At 42.7% G+C, this 23,755-nt stretch overlaps 1 long non-coding RNA gene across 1 annotated transcript; it reads left to right on the forward strand.

Moving 5' to 3' along the window:
* Positions 1-485: 485 nt before the first annotated feature.
* On the forward strand, positions 486-23,752 carry LOC105379388 (uncharacterized). Its single transcript, XR_949701.2, has 3 exons — positions 486-593; positions 19,596-19,711; positions 23,216-23,752. It is a non-coding gene; the product is annotated as an uncharacterized LOC105379388 (long non-coding RNA).
* Positions 23,753-23,755: the final 3 nt, after the last annotated feature.

Here is a 23,755-nt window from a genome sequence, read left to right on the forward strand (position 1 = left end):
TGCTGCTGGGGCTAGTTTCTGAGAGAGTTATTTGGGAACAGGATGTTGTGCCAGAGAGTTGTTCGTGGTTAGTTGTCTCTCAGAACAATTGTTCTTCCCTACCTTGGGGCTCCCTCCTCATTGTTGCTAATTTATCCACACTTGGTATATGCTCAAAAGAATTGAAAACAGGTACTCAAGCAAATATTTTTACAGGAATACTCCTAGCAGCAGAGTTCACAATAGCCAAAGGTAAAAACAACCCAAATGTTCATCAACAGATACATAAGTAAACAAAATGTGGTATATAACAGAATATTATTCGGCCATAAAAAAGAGTAAAGTTCTGGTACATGCTATAACATGGATGAACTTTGAAAATACTATGCTCAGTGAAGGAAACCAAACACAGAAAACCACATATTGTATGATGTCATCTATATGAAATGTATAGAATAGGTAAATCCATAGAAACAGAATGCAGAGCAGTGGTTGCTTAGTGGTAGAGGGAGGAAGAAATGGGAACTGACTGCTTAATAAGTATGGGATTTTTGGTGGGGTGTTGATGCAATGTTTTGCAACTAGATAGGGATGATGGCTGGCTGCACAGCATTGTGAGTATACTAAAATTGTCCTCTTAAAAATGGTCAATTTTATGTTATGTGAATTTTACGTCAATTTTTAAAAATTGGCTTGGTGTATATAATCCTCTGTGAGTCTCCATTCTGTTGACAAGTAACCACAGCTCCCCATACTCACACTTCGTATCTCCTCCCTTTGCCCTGACACCTCACCACCACCCCACCACCCCACCACCCCATTCCCATAGGGCAATGCGTCAGCCACCAGAGACTTTTCACTTACCCTCTCTGTTTTGCAACTTTTACCCATACTGGCCCAGCTACAGATGATGGCATGTTAGGGGCGCGGCGGCAGTTCAGCAGTTCCATTGACTGCTAATGAGATACACACTGATAAGTAGCCAAAAATAACCAGGGTAGGCAGAATGTTTCTAAATAGAAATGTGATACACTCATAAGTGGGCATGAGGCAGAATATGGCAGAGCACCAGAAAGACAGCAGATGGGTGGTTTAGACACAGCTGCTGTCACTGGGGGGGAGAGACTTGTGATTACCATAGAGATAGGGGGCAAAGAGGATTTATTTGGGGAGCATGTTTCAAGGGCATGAAGGATGTAAATAGTCACTTCTAAAACTCAGTAGAGGGGTTATATTTTATTTTATTTTATTGAGTTTCGCTCTTGTTGCCCAGGATGGAGTTCAATGGTGCAATCGCGGCTCACGGCAACTAGAGGAGTTATAACACAAGATTTGGGGTGACGGCATGGAAATTAAAAGCTGGTGAAGCACATGGCCTTTAGATCTGGATGTACTTGAGCTGTGGGATACAGAGCATAAAGGGGAGCACACCACTAAGGTGATGACTGGTAACATTTTAGAATCTGAAAACACTTAAGAAAGAGGTTTGTGTGGAGAGCAATTATTGCAGTTTTTCCTAAAGCTATTGGAGCGGAGAACTTAATTTAGTTACTTTCCAGCAGTCTTTATCTTGTCAGGCTCGTTCTTTTCTGCAGACTTTCAGGGAGACTTCTCAGGAGCCAGGTCTGTATCTATCCTCATCCTGTCTTAGCATTTGCTGAGATGCAGCTCGTCACTTCTAAATCACATCTGATCTTTGGTTATCTTGTTTAGACTACTAGCACCTCCCTGGATTCTGTAATTCACTTAAAATCACATCAGCCAGAACAGTGTGATCTTATTTGTGTGTTATTTAACACTCTATCGTAGGGCAGTCAGTCGCCTTATTCTGGAATTCCCACTGTTAGCATTGCAGGCTGGCCTACTCTAGAGGTAGCTCCTTTTTTCTTTTTCTTTTTTTTTTAATTTAAGCTGAACAAACACGTAGTGTTTACTTTATGACAGGCACTGGGCTAAATGCTTTATAAATATGAAGTCATATTAGTACGTGAATAATATAAGTGCTTTAGCTATCTTTATCTCCTGCCAACATCAGAGGCTTTAGGAATTAGCATGATGAATATTAAATATGGGTTCTCATAGTTGAGATTAGTGGTATTCAAACTGCATGTCATGACTAGAATATTGCAGAGGGTCTTCTCACTTTTGCATGAACATCTAATCAGCTTTGCAACTTTCCTGTAAGGGATAACACTTGGAGTTTGATTTCTAAATGGCCAGATATTGCACAGTATAGTGTCCAGCTATTAGTCAGAAGACACTGTTATGTAATACTTATTCTCATGATAAAAGAATTCTGTCTTTAGAATATTGTTTTCTATCTGCATTAAATGAGAATTTTACACAGGATTGGTTGAATGACCTAGATATAACGATTGTTTTATGCCTATTAGCTAACAAATGTTTATTTAGTAAATGTCCAAACATGGGAAAGATTTCAGTCTGAGACTTGTTTTCATTATAATCTTGTAGCAAGACTGCAGAGCTATAGCTACTCCTCACCCAACTCAAACATTTTGGTGACTACTGTTATCTACCAGAAAGAACCTGTGAGTTGTATATGACCAAATCAGCCAGTTTGCAACTTCACAATAGCAGCTCTGTTTCCAGCCTCCAGCAAGAGCGGTCCCCACACCATCTGTGGCTATAATCTCTCACCAAGACTGTCAGATTGTCGGGGGCCTCTGCTTCTCAGGTTTATAACACTGCTGCCTTAGACATGTGGTAAATGATTTCACTGTTCCCTGTGGGCATGTGGGGTCTTCTTTGCAGAACTTTTCTCTGATTCCTCCTAGCTATAGCAGAAGGAGGAGAGCTGCAATGCTTGCTGATTTCTTGGGATCTGGACGAAACCATCATTTCTCCCCCAGTGGCATCTCCCCTGTTGTGTCCTGATATAGTTTGGCTGTGTCCTCACCTAAATCTCATCTTGAATTGTAGCTCCCCATAATTCCCACGTGTTGTGGGAGGGACCCAGTGGGAGATAATTGAATAATGGGGGTGATTTCCTCCAACTACTGTTCTTGTGGTAGTGAATAAGTCTCATGAGATCTGATGGTCTTATAAGGGGAAAACCCTTTCTCTTGTTTCTCTTTCTCTCTTGCCTGCCACCATGTGAGATGTGCCTTTCACCTTCTTCCATGATTGTGAGGCCTCCCTAGCCACATGAAACTGTAAGTCCATTAAACCTTTTCCTCTATATAAATTACCCAGTTCCAGGTATGTCTTTGTAAGGAGCGTGAAAAAGGACTAATACATGACCTGAGTAACATCTGAGAAGTTACTGTTACTCCACCCCCCCGATGTGTGGAAGCCAGCCACTAAGAATGCCCCCATCACCTGGGCATGGTGGCTCACGCCTGTAATCCCAGCACTCTGGGAGGCTGAGGCAAGCGGATCACCTGAGGTCAGGAGTTTGAGTCCAGCCTAGCCAACATGATGAAACCCTGTCTCTAATAAAATACAAAAATTAGCCAGGCGTGGTGGTGGCACACACCTGTAATCCCAGCTACTTGGGAGGCTGAGGCAGGAGAATCACTAGAACCCAGGAGATGGAGGTTGTAGTGTGCCAAGATCTTGCCACTGCACTCCAGCCTAGGTGACTGAACGAGACTCTGTCTCAAAAACATAAATAAATAAATAAAATAAGAATGCTCCTGTCATTCTTGACTCCTGGTTGTCATACCCTCTTATGATTCCCTCCCAAGGTGTACCAAGGTTGTTCTGTGACACCAGTGGAACGCAACAGAAATAATGATGTGTCCTTTCCAAGGTTAGGTGGTAAAAGACAAAGCGGCCGCAATGTTGGTTGTTCTCTCTCTTACCTCTATGACTGGACTATACAACCCACCAAGAGGAAAATAAGTTATCTGTAACCAGGTTCAGGATGATTTTGACCCCAGGGAAAGTGTTGCAGAATCACATTTCAAAAAATGCCTTTCTGTTCCAGAGAGCTTGATGTTGAGAAACTGCCCTGGGAAGTAAATATTTATCCAGACAGATCTAGAATTCCAGGTGCCTGAATGGTAGTGATTCAGCAAATTTATGAGGTCACAAAACCATCAGTTATAGCGCTGGCCCTGAATAGCCTCTAGTGCTTTCCAGTGTGGGGGAAGGTTAGGGTTGTGGTATGAGGGCCCTGGGATTAGGGACAGGTACTGTTATGCAATGGAAAGGGGCCTGGCTGTTATGGGTTCCGGTCACTTACTTTGTAACTTTGGGAGAGTCACATCCTCTCTGTGTCTTATCTTTAGCATCTGTGAAATGATGCTTCCCAGAGTTTTTGAGAGAATAAGGTGAGTTAAATGTGAGAGTCTTTGGTAATCTCTGAAATGCTATATAACTATGAAAGATTATTATTACTCACCCATACCAATTTTAAAAACCCAAATGTAAATTGACAAATTAGAAAGTCATTCTGTGCTAAAAATATTGTTCCAAATCTAATTAAATTAGAACAATAGTGTATTTGCCAATTTGTAGGCTAAGTATCCAAAAAGCAACACTATGGAATGTAACTAACTAAAAGGAATCGACCACAATAATATATATATATATATATATATATATATATATATGTATATATATATATATATGTGTATATATATATATATATATATGTATATATATATATTTATCTGTATAACAACTACCTATAATAGCCAAGTTTTAATAACAACCTTATTCAGAATTCATTTTTCAAGACTGGAAATCAGTGCCTTACTAACACCTGGCTTGCTTAAGTCCATTAAAAACAGTGTCAAAATGTATACAAACTTTTTATTTGCATTGCACTTTGCAGTTTTCAGTTTTTCATGCATTTTCTCATTCAATTATCGTAAAACACTTCGAAGCTAACTTGTGTTATCTTCATAGTGTTATGATCTCCAAGGTATAGGTGAGTGAAGAAATTGAGCTTCAGAAAGTATGAAAGTCTTTCCGAGGTCATGTAACTGTTAATATTATGTACCAGTGGCGCAGTGGGGACTCACGTGCATGGGTTGTCACTTCAAGTTCCATATACTTTCTATTACACCACAGATATCGTGAACTCTGTGGATGGGTGATCTTGATCTTTCAGGCTCTCTTCCAAGCTTTGGCCTCTTGAACATACAGAATCATCCTATCTCTCAGCAAATCAGCTTACATCACTTGATTTTGCCCCAGGGATCGATCCACCAATTTCTCTTAGCCCCTTTCTGAGCTGGGATACCTTTACAAATCACGCTACTTTACCGCAGGCCCTTAATATAGGAAGTAAAACCTTCCAGCATGCCCAGTGTTTGTATATTTTAATATTCTGTAGAGTCCTGTTTGGAAAAATAATTTCTCCCCAGAAGCCCTGATTGACCTAGAGATATAGCAGAACCTGGCAAAAGTGATTCTGCACATCTAGACTGAGACCCAGAGGGCAGGGAGGAGGACTTTAATTCCCGGCATCTATCTTCCTGTGGGACTCATCGTTAGAAGAGAGAAGCTGAACTGCCTTTTTCTTCCTTTCTTTTCTCTTTCTTTGTTTATTCGTGTTTCTGAGGACATGCTTTCCTCCCCCTGCTTCCCTTTGCCTCCTGGAAGCAGAGATTCTCAATTATGAGATGGAGTGGGGATAAAACCTGCTGGTCAGAACTTTGTTTCAGACCCACTGAATTGAGAGCCGTTGAGCTGATGGGTGGTTGCTCAAATCAACCTGACTGAGGTGGGAGGGTGTTGCTGTGCGGATGTGCACTGAAGGCCTCCACTCACTTCCCTGTGGGGGCTTCCAAGCCCCTGATTGTGAGTACGATCGGGCAATAACTGCATGGGCCCTCTTCTCCCCCATTCCTTTCTGCTGCTGTTTAGAATAGAAGAGAAATATAGCTTCAGTGATTCTGTTTACTCCACACAATAGAGATCAAGCCCATGGGCAGATTTTTTCAGGGGACACAATGGGCTGAGAGTAGAAGGTGCTGCTGGGTACATTTGCTTCTGCTAAACAACTTCTCATTTGATAGGGCGTGGGCATAAGTAAATAGATTCATATGAGGGCTTTTTTTAAAAAAACAAAAACAAAGACTTGAGGATCAAGCTTTACAAAGAGTGGGTGTTCATTTTACCGGACAGTCGGGGGGTTTAGGAGACACTGAATACACACACACACACACACACACACACACCCACACACACACACCCCCACACACACTGCTCTCTGCATAAACCAGCAGTCCCAAACTGAAAAATATACCTCTAAGACAGTAGCCATTTATAAATCAGTTGTTCAGAGCAACTTCTCAGAGAAACAATATTACGAGGGCTTGCACAAGTCATAAAGATCTATTTTAGCCCACGCGTTCCTAAACAGTAATATTCTTCAAGAATCATAATATATTACAATGTCCCTAAAGAAAAGTGATTTCAGCTGTCAAATCAAAAAATTCTGGCTGCTCTAAGCAGGGATTAAATCCATGCAAACCACAGGTTTTAAGTAAAGTAGCAAATACTGAGAGAATTATAATCATGAGAAATTCCAAGGACAAATAATGCTTGACAAACTTTGTATTCAAATTCAGTTTATTCCCACAAATGTGTATTTTCCACAGGCTAATCGAAATTGGGCTCAGCCTGTCCTCCCTTTTCCATACTTCCCAGTTCAGACTTCGACTCAGGCTGGTATCAGCTGGATATAGCTTACTATAGAGTGGATGTTATGTTAGCATTGCAGCTGCACGTCTTGGCGCTTTTGAGAACCTTTCCGATCTTTACTTTTGTTTGACTGCCAAGGTGGTCCCTCAACATCTGGCTGCCTGTGGCAAGACCTCAGTTTTAGGTGGCCCCGTGCTTTTTACCTGGGTCCGAGACCATCCTGCACTTGCCTTCCAAGCAATTTCTTTTCCCACAGGTGGGTTGTGTGGTTCAGCCCTCAAAGTGCAATCGGCATTTCCGGTGCTCTGTGTGGTGACCTATGACATCTTCAACAGGTTCTTGGCTTAGTCGCACCAACCCCACCGCAAAACTTCTTCACTCTTCTAAGATACGGTCAGCATTCAGGCTGTGTTTCTTCTGCCAAAGCCTGCTGCAGATGCTGTCCTCTTCTGTTTCAAGGCTGGTGATCCTTTGCTACCATAGATTTCAATGGCATCAAAGACTCATCTAACGTCCTGCTTTTTGCCTGAGGAACGTCTTGAATTCTAGCTCACTCAGAGATGATTAACCTATCCACAGTCCAAGAAATGATCAAGCCAGCACTGTCCAATTTCAGCACTTTTTGAAGATTACTTGATGTAGTCTTTCACTGATCCCAGAGTATTGAACATACTGGGTTTTCTGTTTTCGAAATTATTATTATTATTATTATTTGAGACAGTGTCTTTCTCTCTCACCCAGGCTGGAGTGCAGTGGTTTGATCTTGGCTCACTGTAACCTCTGCCTCCAAGGTTCAAGCGATTCTCCTGAATCAGCCTCCTGAGTAGCTGGGACTACAGGTGTGCACCACTGCACCTGGCTAATTATTTTGTATTTTTAGTAGAGACAGGATTTTGCCATGTTGGCCAGGTTGGTCTCCAACTCCTGGCCTTAAGTGATCTGCCCGCCTCAGCCTCCCAAAGTGCTGGGATTACAGGCATGAGCCACAGCACCTGGCTGAAAATACTCTTTGTTTTGAGGGAACAGACATCATTTTAATCAAGGGGAGGATAATGTGATATCCTCAAAGAAGACTGACTTTATGATACTGTGGCAAGGAGTCGGTAAGGAGCATAACCACTGCAAAAGGCCACACTGTGGCCAAGCCCAGGGCTCAGGGCTGTGCCTGTTCTTGGGCTGAGAAAAGAGTGCTCAGATGGGTTCATAAAGATGAGCACCTGGGCTTGTTTGAGCCTGGGCTCTGCCACCAGCCGGATTCCTGACAGCAGGTAAGGTACCTGCTTCCTCTCAAATCTGTCAAAACTCCCTCATCATCTCATCACGATAAGTGAAAATAAATGTGAATGTGCTTTCAAAAGTTAGGGCTTGGAAGTAAAAATGTTGTTTTTTATACCTCTATCTAGTCCTCTGTTTCAGCCTCAATGAAATCCACAGCTCCGTTCCTTTTTCTATATTACTTTATGTCTGCAGCTGTGTGTCTAAATGCAGACTTGAACATATCCATGGAGAAGGACGGCTGTGACTGTGGCTATAAATGTGCTTTTAGCTTTTTTTTCCTACTGGTGCAGATGACTATGTGTCTTAAACCCCTCCAGTGAGCTGTGTTTTGCTTTAAAAAGCTGATGCGCCAAAAATAAGGCTTGGGCTGAGTCATCAGCCCTGAGTTTAGGGAAGGGAGATGGTAGAGGAGGCAGGGAGGCTTTTCCAGTGAACAAGCACTAAGCAAAGTGAGTGGCTTTATCCCAGGGGTGAGCAACCTATGGCCCACAGGCTACATTTAATCTGCTGCCTGTTTTATCCATAAAGTTTTATTGAAACAGCCACATTCGTTCATTTAGGGATTGTCTTTTGCTACTTTTGTGCTACAACAACAGGCTTGCACAGCTGCAATAGAGACTGTATTTGGCCTGAAAACCTAACATTTTATTATCTGGCCCCTCAGAAACAGTGTACGGATCCCTACTTTTCCCTAACATCTGCAAACATCATAATTTCCACATTTTTCTACATATTGACCTGTTGTAGCAGCATAACACCCTATGAAGCGGTTGTGGTGGGTGACTTTACAGCAATTTTCTGCTGAGGAAAATGACATTCAGAGAGGTTTTATGACTTACCCCCATTGCATCATCTACCACTAGCCAGAATGGACTGGCATTAGGATTCCTCAATGTGTATCTGATTCTCTGTTCACCCCACCACATCAGCTCCTGAGTGGCAGCCTTCTTATGAGGCTGGCTTGGGGATGAAGATTTTAAATTCAAGTTATTAGATCTGCCCTTTCTTTGACTGAACACTGTGTAGTCATGTGTTACTTAAAGAAGGGGATACCTTCTGAGAAATGTGTTGTTAGGCCATTTTGTCATTGTGCAAACATCACGGAGTGTACTTACTTAAGCCTGGATGCAGCAGCCCATTGCAGTCCTAGGCTATATGGTGTAGCCTACTGCTCTTAGGCAACAAACCTGTACGGCATGTACTGTACTGAATACCGCAGGCAATTGTAACACATTGGTATTTTTGCATCTAGATATATCTAAACATATAAAAGATACAGTAGGCCATGCACGGTGGCTCATGCCTGTAGTCCCAGCACTTTGGGAGGCTGGGTGGGTGGATCACCTGAGGTCAGGGGTTTGAGACAAGCCTGGCCAACATGGTGAAAACCCGTCTCTACTGAAAATACAAAAAATTAGCTGGGTGTGGTGGTGGGTGCCTGTAAACCCAGCTACTCGGGAGGCTGAAGCAGGAGAATCGCTTGAACCTGGGAGGCAGAGGTTGCAGTGAGCCGAGATCACGCCATTGCACTCCAGCCTGGGCAATAAGAGCAAAAATCTGTCTCAAAAACTAACTAACTAACTAACTAAATAAATAAAGATACAGTAAAAATACGGTGTAAAAGGTAAAAATTAGTACACCTATATAGGGAAGTTCCATTATAATCTTAGGGGACCACTGTTTTGTCTGTGGTCTATCAGGAGCCAAAATGTCCCCATGTGGCTCATGCTTCTACTAAATTGGAGTGTAAAGAAAACTGCACTGGGAACCCTAGTTCTTGCTCTTGCTGAAACAGCCGAAGGACTTTTGGCAAGTCACTTGGTTCTTCTGGGTCTGAGTTCCTCATCTGTAATATAAATGGGTAAATTAAAAAACAACACTAATTATTGACAACTTGAAATTCTTGCAAAGTATTCTGGTTAATCTCCCTTTCCAATACTGCTACATTTCTTCAGAAAGCCAGCAATCCCAGGTAATGCCCCACAGCAATGGCAGGTAGATTGTGCAGGGGGATGGGGAGACAGCAGGCAGTGGGAGGATGGAGGTGGTCCTAAGCTCTCCTGCCCCTGGCTTCTTTCCCTTGCCCTGGGTCCCCCTTTTAACTGTGTCCTGCTGGTCCCTAACATTTCCTGGAAAACTGTAACTCTGCAGAGAGTCTGGTGAGGGGGCTGCTGTCTGTAGAAAAAAGGGACAAAGAGAACAGTCACTTATTTTGCGACCAAAGGGTTTTTTTTTTTCTTTCTTTTAATGGAAAGTGTTATTTTTAAGTCCCCGTCAGCCTGCGAGTGCATGTGCAGCAATTGTCCTGTGCACATTTGAATAATGTCTCTGCATCCCTCTGTGATGTGGTGCGGAACGGCAACTTTGTACTTTGCATTTTTATTGTGATGAAGATATTTTATGACAGCATTTGCATCTTAACAAAAAAAATCCTGAAAACAAGGCCTTTCTAGACCACTTATACAAAAGGAAGGTGACTCAGACTGGCCTCCTCTTGGGAAATTCTGGTCAGGGTAGGTCTGGTCTCCAGGGCAGTAAGGAACCCCAGGCAATCTGTAGAAGTTAGTGACTGTTACCTTGGGAGCCTCTCATTACCCCATTCAGCTCCCTGGCCACCCAGCTGCAGCATCAGGACCAAGCCTGGGGTGAAATCAGCAATTCCATTGAATTTGCCTTTTGGTGTGTCAGGCACTTTCCAGCCAGCTTTAATATGGGGAGACAGTTATAAAAATATTGGAGGAGTTGAAATTTCAAGGAAGGGATTGTGAGGCAACTCAGAGATTTAGCAATAGCAGGAGACTGTTACCACTTCTAGGGCTGGAGAAACCCAGGAAGGACATGGTGTTACCAGAGCTTAGGAGCTACTCAGTAGAAGCTGGGCCTATATCTGGGGTTGCCTGTAGGAGCTGAGACCATGGAGAGAGATTGTCCAAAGGTAGCTGGAACCATAGAGGAATCAAAGTCACTTCCAGAGATGCAGCCCAAAGCAGAGGGAGGAGAGGAGAGAAATTCCCTGGCTACTTCCTTCCATTTATCCCCAGGCCTCCTACCAATAACTCCCATTTGCTGCACTCAACAGATTCAGAAAGGCTGGAAAATTTAGTTTTCATGAGTCAGCTTCTAATAATACAAGCCAGAGTAGGAAAGGGTGAAAAAGTAATTTGAGAGAGAAAAGGCAAAAAATGGTACCTTGGGCAGCAGTGAATTCTGTCAACTTCATTTCCCCTTAAAGAAGTGTCTGTCATCCTGGGAAAATTTCCTTCTGCTCATAGGACATGCCTATGACTGAAGGTGACAGAAATAGAGCCAAGCAGGACTGATGTGACAAGATAACTGGGCCTAGGCAATGTGTGAGTGATGGGAAGAGCCAGGTGTCACGTGGACTTGTGCTGGTGTCTGGGGCTTATGTACTGACAGTATTCATTAAAAGAGTCTCCAGCAGAAATGTAAACTATAGGAGACTCTCATGATCAGACAAAATGACTGTATGGTGGTTTCTGATGACCAGCGCATTTGGGGGGCTGGATTCCAGCTAGCAGCTAGTTGTTTAAGGACCAGGTTTCCTGAGGGAGGGATTGACAAGCCCTGAATACCATGTTTAGACTCCCATCAAACTAAGTAGAGCTTAAGCATTGGCCCTAGTTCTAGCAAGGCCACCCTACACCTGCCCCTTTATGTGGGACCAATTCATTCACGCATAATGCCCTGCAGGCCCAAAAAGCCAGCATCAAATACCAAGCTACCTTCAACACAACTACTCAATCTGCCTATCCAGTTTGCCTCTAATCTCCTTTGCTTGGCCTTAATTTTCTAATTCCAAAGATTTGGCTTTTATGCTCACCTCTTTTCCCTTAGGACTGTCTTTCTATGCCACTTCTGGTTAATTTGCTACTGCAGCTCTGGTACCCCCCCCACTGTCTTGGGAAGAGCTCCCTGCTCCAGTTCCTGGACTTTGAAGAATGCTTCCCTCACCTGTTATGTCTGCCATGGCCAGCCCTAGCCCCAGATGAAGGTTCATTCTGAAAAGCAAAGGGGCCATGTGTCAGTCAGAGAGAGGGTAGACTTTCTGTGGGGTAGGCTGGATAAATATGGCAGGGGCCACGGAAGACCAAGGCTCCTCATATACTCATCTTGAGCCAGTCAAGATGTGGCTGCCAAGGGCTTACCATGCTACCCCTTTTCACCTACATCAGAGGTTTCCTCATGTGTCAGCAACATGTGTACCCCTGCATCCAATATAGAAATTCCAGGGGAATCTTCCATCTGTGCTTTCCTTTTCCAAATGATGGCCACTTCCTCTGTTTCAACTGTTTCTCTATTTGTTGGTTTGTTAAGAATCAATAAATCACACTTTCTATATTTGAACACTCCTTCCATCATTGACTACCTCTGTGACTTCGGAGAATAATTTAATCTCTCTAGGTCTGAAACCCTGCATCTGTATAAAGAGACATAATGTTAGTATCTCTTGTACAGGGTTGCATTGTAAAATTAAATTGGATCATTCTATAAAGAGCTTAACACAATAAGTTTTCAATAAATGCTGATTGATGTCATCATTACTGTCATCATCATCATCATCACCCAAGATTGAGCAGTAGAAATAGTCTTCCTCGTTCTCCACTTTCTTGATACTTCCCACAATAACATTACCGCTTGTTTTTCATGATTTTTACTACCAATCACTACCAAACAAAAAATAGTAGGAGTCACATGTCACAAAAAATTAAAAAATAGGCCAGGCGCGGTGGCTCACGCCTGTAATCCCAGCACTTTGGGAGGCCGAGGCGGGTGGATCATGAGGTCAGGGGATCGAGACCATCCTGGCTAACAAGGTGAAACCCCGTCTCTACTAAAAATACAAAAAATTAGCCGGGCGCGGTGGCGGGCGCCTGTAGTCCCAGCTACTCGGGAGGCTGAGGCAGGAGAATGGCGTGAACCCGGGAGGCGGAGCTTGCAGTGAGCCGAGATTGCGCCACTGCACTCCAGCCTGGGCGACAGAGCGAGACTCCGTCTCAAAAAAAAAAAAAAAAAAAATTAAAAAATATTCTTATGATATCCTCAGCCTCACTGTCCCTAATTGATAAGTCCTAAATATTTTATTTTTGGTACTCAGTTTATTGGCCCCTACTTTTTTAAATCTAGAAACAGGAATGCTCTTGGCTCTTCCAGTCTCTGTCAAGTTTTTGCCCCATGCAAATCCTACTCTTCAGCACCTATGTTCAGTTTCACATTTGGGGTTCTTTCTGCATGTAGGTGACCATTTACCTCGTAGGCCTCTATTATCCTCCTGAGAACTCAACTTCCACAAGTTTCCAAAAATAATAAAACACTCTTTCTCAGGAACTCGAAGCAAAGAAAAAAGGTACCATTTATAAAATTATCAAAGATGGCTAGTCCTACAACTGGGCATCATCTAGCAGTCTTAGTGACATCGTGGTTGGCTTCTAGGCACATGTCCTTGTTTTTCCAGGATATTGTTCATCAGATCAGGCCTTGAAAATGTGGGTAATGGATCAACAAAGAAAATATTTGTTTTTATTTGGGCAATCTTTCATTTCTTATCGACAGTGGGATCAGAACCTGGGTTGCCAGGCTTTTAACCCAGTGGATTTCTCATCTTACATACTTAGAAAAAGATTTAAAACCCCAACATTTTAGGACAAATTAAAAATGGGTCACAAAGAGGAGAGCAGAGAAAGAAAGAAACCTTATGCCTGTGGCTATGGCTCCAGTAAAATCTTGTAGTCAGGACCTAAGTGGACATTCGACTGATTCAAATTGCATTTCCGGCACTTACTAGTTGCATGACTTCGAGAAAGTTCCTTAATAGATGAATGCCTTAGTTTCCTTGTTTGCAAAACAGGGAGACTAAAACACTTTATAAGATCAAGGTGTGGTTTAGATTAATTAATGCATGTAAAACCCTTAGAACTGTCTCTGACTGGCTCAAAAATAAGCAACTTTACCTAAATAATTCCAAAATTCTCAGTCACATGCAATAGCAAACAATTCCTTTTCATCTGTCTGCAATCAGCTGGGGCAACTCTAAGCTGCAGATTGCATTGGGTGCACTCCATATTTCTCTCACCCTCCTTGGGGCAGTGGGCTAGGCAGGAATATCCTTATATTCCTGTGGCAAACAGAACAATCCTGAACAAGAAAGCACAATCATCAGTCCTCTATTTCTTTCTCATCTGGTAACAATGTGTTGGCCAAACAAGTCATGTGGATGAGCCCAAAAATAAAACATCAGGGAACTATATTCTATCTTTATGGGAGGAACTGCAAAATTGCATAGCCAAGAACATGAATTTGAATGGGAATATAAAGAATGAGGACCAATAATTTAACTGTGCCACCTTGACATATAATAAAAGCTCAATTAATGTTAGCTGTTAGCAATGGTACTATCCCTAAACACTCTTGAAAGAGGAAGGTTCCGCTTTCATACTTCTGCCTGATACCCTCTTTCTCTTCCTGAGCTCTGCCTTTATGCACCTCCACAACTCACTGTTAGGAAGTGATCTCTGATAGCTCCATCCTGCTTAGGGCCTCTACAGCTGGACTCTGTGCAGACTCATGCTGGCAGTACAACTTTTCATATCAACTTGTCCCTTAATAAAATTTAATAAGCCCAGAGCCAATTTCTCCTCTTCTCTAAGATTGTTGCAGGTTGACAGGGAATCTGAAGAGCAACTTACAGCTCTATACATTAACACAGCATGTAGTATATTTATTTTAATAGAGGTCTTTTGACAAAGGCTTTAATGGTAAAAAAAATTCAGACAATATTGTAAGCTTGCAGAGGGAACTATTTAGGGACCTGGGAAACAGGCCAATAAGTACAGCCATGAGGATATTGAGTTGACCTTGGTATTTGTGTGACAAATGACCTCCCAAAGATGTCCACATCCTGATCTCTGAAACCTGTGAAGATGTCAGCTTATATGAAGAAAGGGACTTTTTGTTGTAAGTAAGGCTTTTGTGATGGAGAGACTATGTTAGGTTATTCAAGTAGGCCCAATATAGTCACAAAGATTCTTAGAGAAGGAGGTTGTAGAATTAGGCTTAGACAGAAAACAGTGTGAGGATGGAAGCAGAGGGACACACAGAGAGAGGGGAAGATGCCATGCTGCACTGCTGATTTTGAAGATGGTGAATGGGGCCACAAGCCAAGGAATGCAGGAAGCCTTTAGAAGCTAGAAAAGGCATGGAAACAGGTTCTGCCGTAGAATCCCCAGAAGGAACAGAGTCCTAGTGATTCATCTTAGGATTTCTGACCTTCAGGACTGTAAGAGAGTAACTTAGTGTTATTTAAACCACAGAATTTATGGCAATTTGTTACAACAACAATGGAAAACTAATATAGCCTCTGTCAATTGTGGGATCCCAGCACCTTGGAAAAAAATGAAATCAGAGTTCCTATTCTCATGTGGTCATAATCCAAACTGGAAAAACCCCCTAATTTTCTCTGTGTTAGACCATGGAAATTATACCTCTAGGTCAGTGAAACTGAAACCGTGTTTTTGATAAAATAAAGAGTTAGGGGATCAAGCCACCAGGCTCTTTCAATTTCAAGCAAGCTAGTTCAAGCACAAACCCTCCTATGTCTGTCCATCTCTTGTGTGCTTGGATTCAGCCTCTAAATACTTCTGTTGCCCGGTAGGCCTAGAGGGCCCATCCACAGCCTGCTTTGTTTCAGAGGTCATGCACCGTGTAACTTGTTTCCTAGTTTCTTCTCAACATGGGCTTTTAGAATATTCACTCTCAGAGCAGAGGACCAGTTCAGGGCAGGGCTTCCATCCTGTGACTTTACCTAGGTCCGCCCTATGGATGGGTAACATAACAACATAAAGAAGCAATTACTTCTGGAGTATGAAGCTCCACTCAATACTGGTATAAGCTAGGATTAGGTTAATCTGTATGTAACAGAAAAGGAACATGGTTTCCATAAAACATATTTATTTTTGTCTCTCCTAAAAGAAAATACTAACTTCATTAATTGAAGACTAATATGTGGGTATGGTTAGGAGAGACCCAGTCTCCTTCTATCTTCCTGCTTCACCATCTCAGAACTGGGCTTCATACTCAAGGCTGATTTGAGGTCCAAGTTGACTGGCAGAGCTCCAACCATCATCTCCACATTTTTGGTAGGAAGAAGGAAAAAGAAAAAATGCAAAAGATCACCCCTCCCAGAGGAATCACCTGTCTTTAATGAGCTTTCCTGGAAGACTCCCATGACCACCAGCTGGATTCCATTAGCCGCCCCTAGCTGTAAGGGAACTTGTTAAAAATAGCCTCTAAAAAACAAAACAAAACAAAAAATGCAGGGACATTGTCTTAAATAGGAACATTCAAGTTCTGTTAGAAAAAAAGAAGGGGAGAATGTATATTAGTGAGCAGCAAACTGTTCTCTCTCTCTCTCTTTTTTTTTTTTTTGTAAACAGGGTTTGGCTCTGTTACCTAGGCTGTAGTGCAATGGCACAATGATGGCTCACTGTAGCCTTAAACTCTCCGGCTCTAGGGATCCTCCCACTTCACCCTCCCGAGTAGCTGGGACTACAGGCGCACACCACTATGCCCGGCTAATTTTGTTTTTTTTTCTTTTGGTAGAGACGGAGTCTTACTATGTTCCTCAGGCTGGTTTCAAGCTCCTGGGCTCACACAATCCTCCTGCCTCTCAAAGTACTAGAGTATGGTGTGTGTCACCAGCCACAACTCTTTGTGACACAGCCTGCCTGTTTACTCTCCACCTATGAAAACTACATATGAGGTTGGTGCAAAAGCAAAGGAATTGCAGTTTTTACCATTACTTTTAATGGTAAAATTGCGGTTTTTACCATTACTTTCAATGCTTTTGCACCAACCTAGTAAAATGTAGTCACCACCTCCCTCAAGAGTCAGTTCCACATTCTTATCCAATGGCTGTACCCAGCTCAAAGTTCAGGATATCTAGATGGTGTGCAGTTATCTCCAACAAATCTGGATGTTTCTTCTTGCGGTTCAGTGACACCTAAGTTCAAAAGCAAGTTATCTTCTTCACAAAAACCAAAGCACCATGAGGGAAAAGAAATGGAATAATTGCAATTTTGTTTTCACAAGTAAACAAAACCTTTCATCTGGAAAATGGAGAATGGGAAACACTAATCTATTATAATTATTAAATTCTTTTGGGTAATAATAGCAAAGATTATTAGTCAGGCAGTGGGGGATTTCATGGGTGTGTTTGATGATTTAGGTTATCAGGCAGCCTTGGTTCTGCCCTCTGGAAAGAACTCCCCTCCTTGTCCTTTATTCTCTGTTGCCCTGGCCCTGAACACTAGAAGTCCTTGACTGCACCTGAAGGAGGGACTGAAGAGCACTCTTTGGGGAGCTGCGTACCTCTCATAGTCCACTTACTTCTGGTACAGTTTTGGGTCCCAGAGATTGCCTTGATGGTAGAAAAGTCTCAGCTGCTTGCTTAGGCATGGTGGCTCATTCCTGTAATCCCAGCACTTTGGGAGGCCAAGGCTGGTGGATCACCTGAGGTCAGGAGTTCAAGACCAAAATATTGAAACCCCATCTCTACTAAAAATACAAAAATTAGCTGGGTGTGGTGGTGGGCACCTATAATCCCAGCTACTCAGGAGGCTGAGGCAGGAGAATTGCTTGAACCTGGGAGGCAGAGGTTGCAGTGAGCCGAGATCGCACCATTGCACTCCAACCTGGGCGACAGAGCCAGACTCCATCTCAAAAAAAAAAAAAAAAAAAAAAAAAAAAGGAAAAAAAAAAAGAAAAGTCTCAGCCTGATAGGTTATGCTTAAGTTTATTATAATTATTATCTTGTTTTTGTAATTTTGAGCAAGCTTCCTCTCTTCTGGCTTCTATTCAGCTATAGGCAGAGTAATCACAGGCAATGGCTAGAGAGAGCTTTTAAACAGGAAAGGTCTCATCTTTTATTTATTGGTCTCTGTGCTCTGCTATGTCTTGCCTTCTCAGATTAATGGTCACTTTCTTGACTCATCTGAAACAATGAGCTTGGATGGGAATGTAATACCTTTAATCCCATATTTATCAGTGAGTTCCCAACTTCCAATGAGAGGATATCAGTTTTGTCGCTTGTAAAGGCAGCAATTTTACAACCACTAATTATAATGGCTTCAGTTTGGGGTACAAATGCATTTGGCCTTTTCAACTGTGCAAGGCTTAAATTATGAGACTCCTATTCAACTCAGACTGCAGATCGTAAGCAGGAGCATCTCCCTTAGGAAATTGTCATTTCTTTCCATTTGTGCTTTTAATGTGGCTAGCTCTAGTATGGGCCACTTTCTTTCTTTTAGGACTCTGTAGAGAGCAGCAGGGAGAGGCCAACACACACCAGAATTTGTAATTTTCCTACCATTTTCCCAGTATTTGAACTTTGGTCAGCATACGCTCTGGTCCCCAAGGTATAGTGGGCGACAGATGTGACAAAATGTTTCACCACAGCTTTAACAGGGGCAGCAAGGTTTTCAGGCTACAATATCTGAATCCTTAACATCGGCCTCCCCACCTCCTCTGTTCAGCCAGGTTGATGTTTTGGGTTCTATTATCTCTAGCACCCCACTTTTAGAACCTTCTGTATTCATTAAGATTTGTTTCAGCTGCATATCACTAAGACCCCAAATATGTGATCTAAACAGGATAATGGTTCATTTCTCTCTCACATGAAAAAAGTAGGCAGGCTAGGACTAATAGCATTATTACAGGAAAGGGGTCCCAATCCAGACCCCAAGAGAGGTTTCTTGGATCTCATGCAAGAAAGAATTGAGGGCGAGTCCATACAGTAAAGTGAAAGCAAACTTATTAAGAAAGTAAAGGAATAAAAGAATGGCTACTCCATGGACACAGCAGCCTTGAGGGCTGCTGGTTGCCCATTCTTATGGTTATTTCTTGATGATATGCTAAACAAGGGATGGATTATTCATACCTCCCCTTTTAGACCATAGAGGGTAACTTCCTGACGTTGCCATGGCATCTGTAAACTGTCATGGTGCTGGTGGGAGTGTAGCAGTGAGGACGACCAGAGGTCACTCTTGTGGCCATCTTGATTTTGGTGGGATTTGGCCGGCTTCCTTACTGCAACCTGTTTTATCAGCAAGGTCATTATGATCTGTATCTTGTGCTGACCTTCTATCTCATCCTGTGACTTAGAATGCCTTAACTGTCTGGGAATGCAGCCCAGTAGGTCTCAGCCTCCTTTTACCCAGCCCCTATTCAAGATGGAGTTGCTCGGGTTTAAATGCCTCTGACAGAGTCATTATGGAAATTTCAAGGAACTAGGCTCCTTCTTCCTTTCTGCTCCACTGTCCTCAAGGCTACCTCATTATCCAAAATGCTTGCTGACTCTCCAGCCGTGACATTCGTGTTCCAAGCAAGAGGAAGGAGAAGTGGGGAAGAGTGCTGAACAAGAAGTAATACCTGCCAGAGGAGCCATGTGATTTAAAATCTTTTCCTCTGAGCTTTCCAGTGACTGCTACTCACAGCAATTTGGCCGCACATAACTGCATGAAAGGCTGGGAAGTGCAGTCTTTTAGCTGAGTTCATGACCACACAAAATAAAATTGGGTTTCTGTTAGCAAAAAGGAAAAGAGAACATTGGGCAGGCAGCTGTCAGTCTCTTCCACATTCTCCGAAAATCCTGTTCTCCCCTGACTTATGCTACCAAAAACATGACCAATGCCTCCATTGCATTACAGCTGATTGCCAAAAGACTTAAGCTAAGTGTCTCATGGAGAAGGGAAACAACTATTATGAGTCATCTACACCTTACTGCCAACAAATCTCATGTCATTTCCCGACAATGGGTTTAGAGGTAAGAGAGGGAAAGAGATGAGTGAGACGCCGCAATGAGGGCATCAGGTGCCATTATACAGAAGGGGCCAAGGAAGAGACACCAAAGACAATATGCTCACGTCTCTGTGAGGATATGATAAACTTCCCTTTAACATAGTACCCTGTGATCAGAGTTACAGCTGAAAAGCCTATTTTCTGCCCTGCTTGCATGCTCTGAGCAGCCATCCACATCACTTGTGTGGGTGGGGGTAGTAATGTGTCAGCCAGTGCTGCATGTTGGCTCCATTTTGGGGTTGGTGGCATGAAGACAACATTGTCTACACAGTGAGATGATCACTCTCTCTGCTCCTGGAATGAGGTATTTTACCCAGCACTGCCAACTCTTAGCAAACAATGCACCAGACCAGGAAGATCTCTGTCCCAACAGTGGGCTTGTCCCTAACTTGCATGACCAGATGCACTTAAATGGTCAGGGCCTGGGAGTACCTACTGGTTTGGTGCTCTAGTGCATTGCCCCAGACTTAGATGCTCATTTCCCCAGCTGCTGGAAGTGTTTGTAGCTCGAGGATCCCCCCTCAGTTTCTCTCTTGGATGTGCCTTCAGCCAAGGAAAGGAACTTGACACAAGCCTTTCACCCAGTCCTCTGATTTTGCCGATTCCATGCTTACTGTGCAACACTTGGGCAGGGGTTAATAAAGGCCCAACTCCCTTGCCTCAAGACAAGACAATCCTAAAAGCCCATCCCAGCTCTGGAAGACCTCGTAGGTCTCCGAGGTCTCTAGCGAAGGTATCACAGTCAACTTCTCCGTTAGCCTTGCCCTGCTTCCCTCTTCTTATTTAGATGTTTTTGAGGGTTACACTTTCAGTAAAATATCTGCACAAAAATCTCAGTCTCAGAGTCTTTTTTTTATACATGTGCTGCAACTGCCCATGAGGGGCAGAGACAAAGCAGAAATTGCCTCTCTGGGTCACAGTCCCCCTGGCTCAGTGTCATCTCTTTAATGATAGCACCTGGGTTTGTGCAGTGGGAGCCTCTGGCTACACTTATATAGCTTCAGAGGCTACGGATGACCTTCCAACACCATTGCTCTTTTTAATCATCTATAAAGGTCTGACAAGAATTTATATAGACCTTTGTGTGCCCATTATATTTTTAACCTGCATCACCTATTTGGTAAATTGACTTCATAATTTTACTTTATGGAGAATCGCTTGACCCCAGGAGTTCGAGACCAGCCTGGGCAAGATAGTAAGACCTTGTCTCTACAAAAAATAAACAAAATTAGTTAGGCATGGTGGAGTATGCCTGTAGTCCCAGCTACTTAGGAGGATGAGGTGGGATGATTGCTTGAGTCTGGGAGGTCGAGGCTGCAGTGAGCCAAGATCACACCACTGCACTCCATTCTGAACAAGAAAGTGAAGTCCTGTCTCAAAAAAATAAAAAGAAGAATTGTCCTTAAATAAAACCTCTTCTAAACTTTAAGGGGTACTGTCTGCCTATAATGGATTATAAATAATGCCCTGCCTGTACCCTATATTACATTTTTCCTGCTAAAATGCAACCCTTTGCTCACACAAAAAGTTATCTGACACCTTTTATAACCTTCTAGCAAAAGATTATGTTGCGGGCCTGGGGTTGGGAGAGTAGGGGTGAGATTTCCCCTAATAAGTTGGAAATAAAAGAAAGAAGATTTGGTTCCAAGGATTCAGCTAGTAAAATCCACATGCAATGTTTAGAAATCTAGATGAGTAAATAAGAGACTGTCTGTAAATATGTGGCCAAAGGATTTGAATAGTCCTCTTATTCCTCCCAAGGTGACCTGGGTCTCAGAGAGGCAGGACAGGAATGTGGTTACTATTTAGCAAGCAAAAGCCCCATCGATTGCATTGCAATGTATGAGCATAAAGGGACAGTCTGGATCATAAAAAATACAGCTCAACAGAACAAAAATTGGCTGTGTTTTTCCAGCATTGTCCAATCTAAGAAGACACTGAATCTGTAAGACAACCTTAATTAAATTACTAGAGAGGTGTTCTGTATCAAGGGGTAGGAATGATTCATCACACCTGACATGGCCTGGATAAAAATCTCCCAGACTCTCCACCTCCCTTTGCTCTGATTCCACGCTTACTATGCAACTTTAGAGTTATTATTTTGACCTCCCCTGGAAGAAGCTGTCTCCCAGCAGGAGAAATGAGAATTCCTTTCATTGGATCAAAATATCTTCCATTATGTACCAATAAGTTTTGCATCTTCTGATGTGCTTTGATTTTAATTTGGTTACTGTGAGTCAGTGCCCTTGATGCAGTTTGACTCCAGGACAATGACAAAGTTTAGGACTCATAGGCACAGTAAATTCACCAAGGTGAATGCCTCCCTGTGAGATCACTTGGTAAAGAACCATCCAGCCTTCATCCGATGACCTCTTATCTCTCCCAGTGAAAAGATGACAAGATCTTTGAAAAATTTATATATGTCTGCTTAATATTTTACAACGAGGAAATGTTGAAATGCTGAATATCATCGACAACTTTGGGGAATTCTCTGTAAACTTGCCCTTCCAGATCACTCATAAAAACAAGAGATAAAATGCCTCCGAGGCTGGAGAGACCTATTATATGTACATCCTCACAAGAGTGGTGCCTGTTTATTCCCACAATTGATACCATAAATATATAAAATATATTACTCTCTTTTGAACAAAATATGGTCCTCCATCCTTAGATGCTTAGCTGGAGCTGGGACTACTTACCAAAACCTTCAAGAAAATATGCATTGATTATAACATTTGTGCTTTCTCTAATCTTTGATTGGTTTTCTAGACCATCCCTGACCAGTAGACCTAAAAAGCAGATAGCTCAGAGCACTGAATTCCATTCAGCACATTTTCCTCCTGATAGGAATTTTCTTTGTCATCGCCCTGGCCCTGAACTCTTGGCCCAATTCTGCTTCCCAAATCCAGCCTGCCAGATTTAGCCTGACCTCCTGGATGATTCCCCCAGAGCTTTAACCTGTTTCCCAGATGCCATGTTGGCCTTCTGTCCTCCAACTCAGAAGTATTTAGGTTGTCTCAGGTTGGGTATCCATGACTCAGTCATCATTCTTTTTTCTCATGAAGATAGAGAAGAGGTTCAAACATATTTCTGAAACCCACACTTCCCTAGAATTCCATCTCCCACCAGGGAAAAATGAATAAAGTCGCTCTTGCTCTCTATACTCATGACCTATAAGAAGGCAGGGCTGAACCGCTATGGTGGAGGCCAAGCTGGCAGCACAGCTTGCAAGGTTGGGGTGGAGCTGCATGCCTGGACTCAGCTCTGTGAAGCAGCCCCTATGTCCCCACATTATGCTCCAGCGAGATTCAGAGAACGACTCCTAAGGCTTCCAGGCTTTCTTGTGAAATTATTATTATCATGAATTATATGTGGTATTGTAGGATGGTATTTTAAAATAGACAATGTCTTCCCCATCCTGTCACCCTAAATTTTCTATTTGTCATATTTTCCTTTTCTGTAATTCCAGGAGAAGAATGACATAGCCCAATGAAGATAGGAAACTATTCTGGACTTTGGAAGAATATGTAAAAAAAACAAAAAAAAAAACAAAAAAAAAAAAACAAGTTTTCTGTATTTCTTCTAGATGGGAGAAGACAAGGAATGAAAAAGGAAACCAAGATAATTTCATACTAGAGAGGTCTAGGCTCTGGAAAGGAGGTGACTAAACCCCTGGATAGATCTGGAGATTCTGAGATCAGGGAGTATCAGTGACACACCTCGCAGACCTGATCCTTCCTGAAACCAGTCTAGCAAACTGGGGAAATCAAGGAAAATGAAATGACTATGTGGTATATCTGAGAAGATGGGCCAGAGGCACCTTTGTAGAGTTACCCATAGCATAGAAAGATCGAGAACAGAAGGATATATTCTGTGTGTCCAAGCCTAGTGCAGACATGGGGCGTGAAGCCAGGGCCCACACACAAAAGGCCCTGTGGCTGCCTTGAAGGGGCTGCAGGGGGTACCTGGAGGAATAGAGGAAGACACCAAAGACAAAATGCTCACTCTT

The sequence above is a fragment of the Homo sapiens genome, chromosome 8, assembly GCF_000001405.40.
Source record: "Homo sapiens chromosome 8, GRCh38.p14 Primary Assembly".
In the NCBI taxonomy this organism is placed as follows: domain Eukaryota; kingdom Metazoa; phylum Chordata; class Mammalia; order Primates; family Hominidae; genus Homo; species Homo sapiens.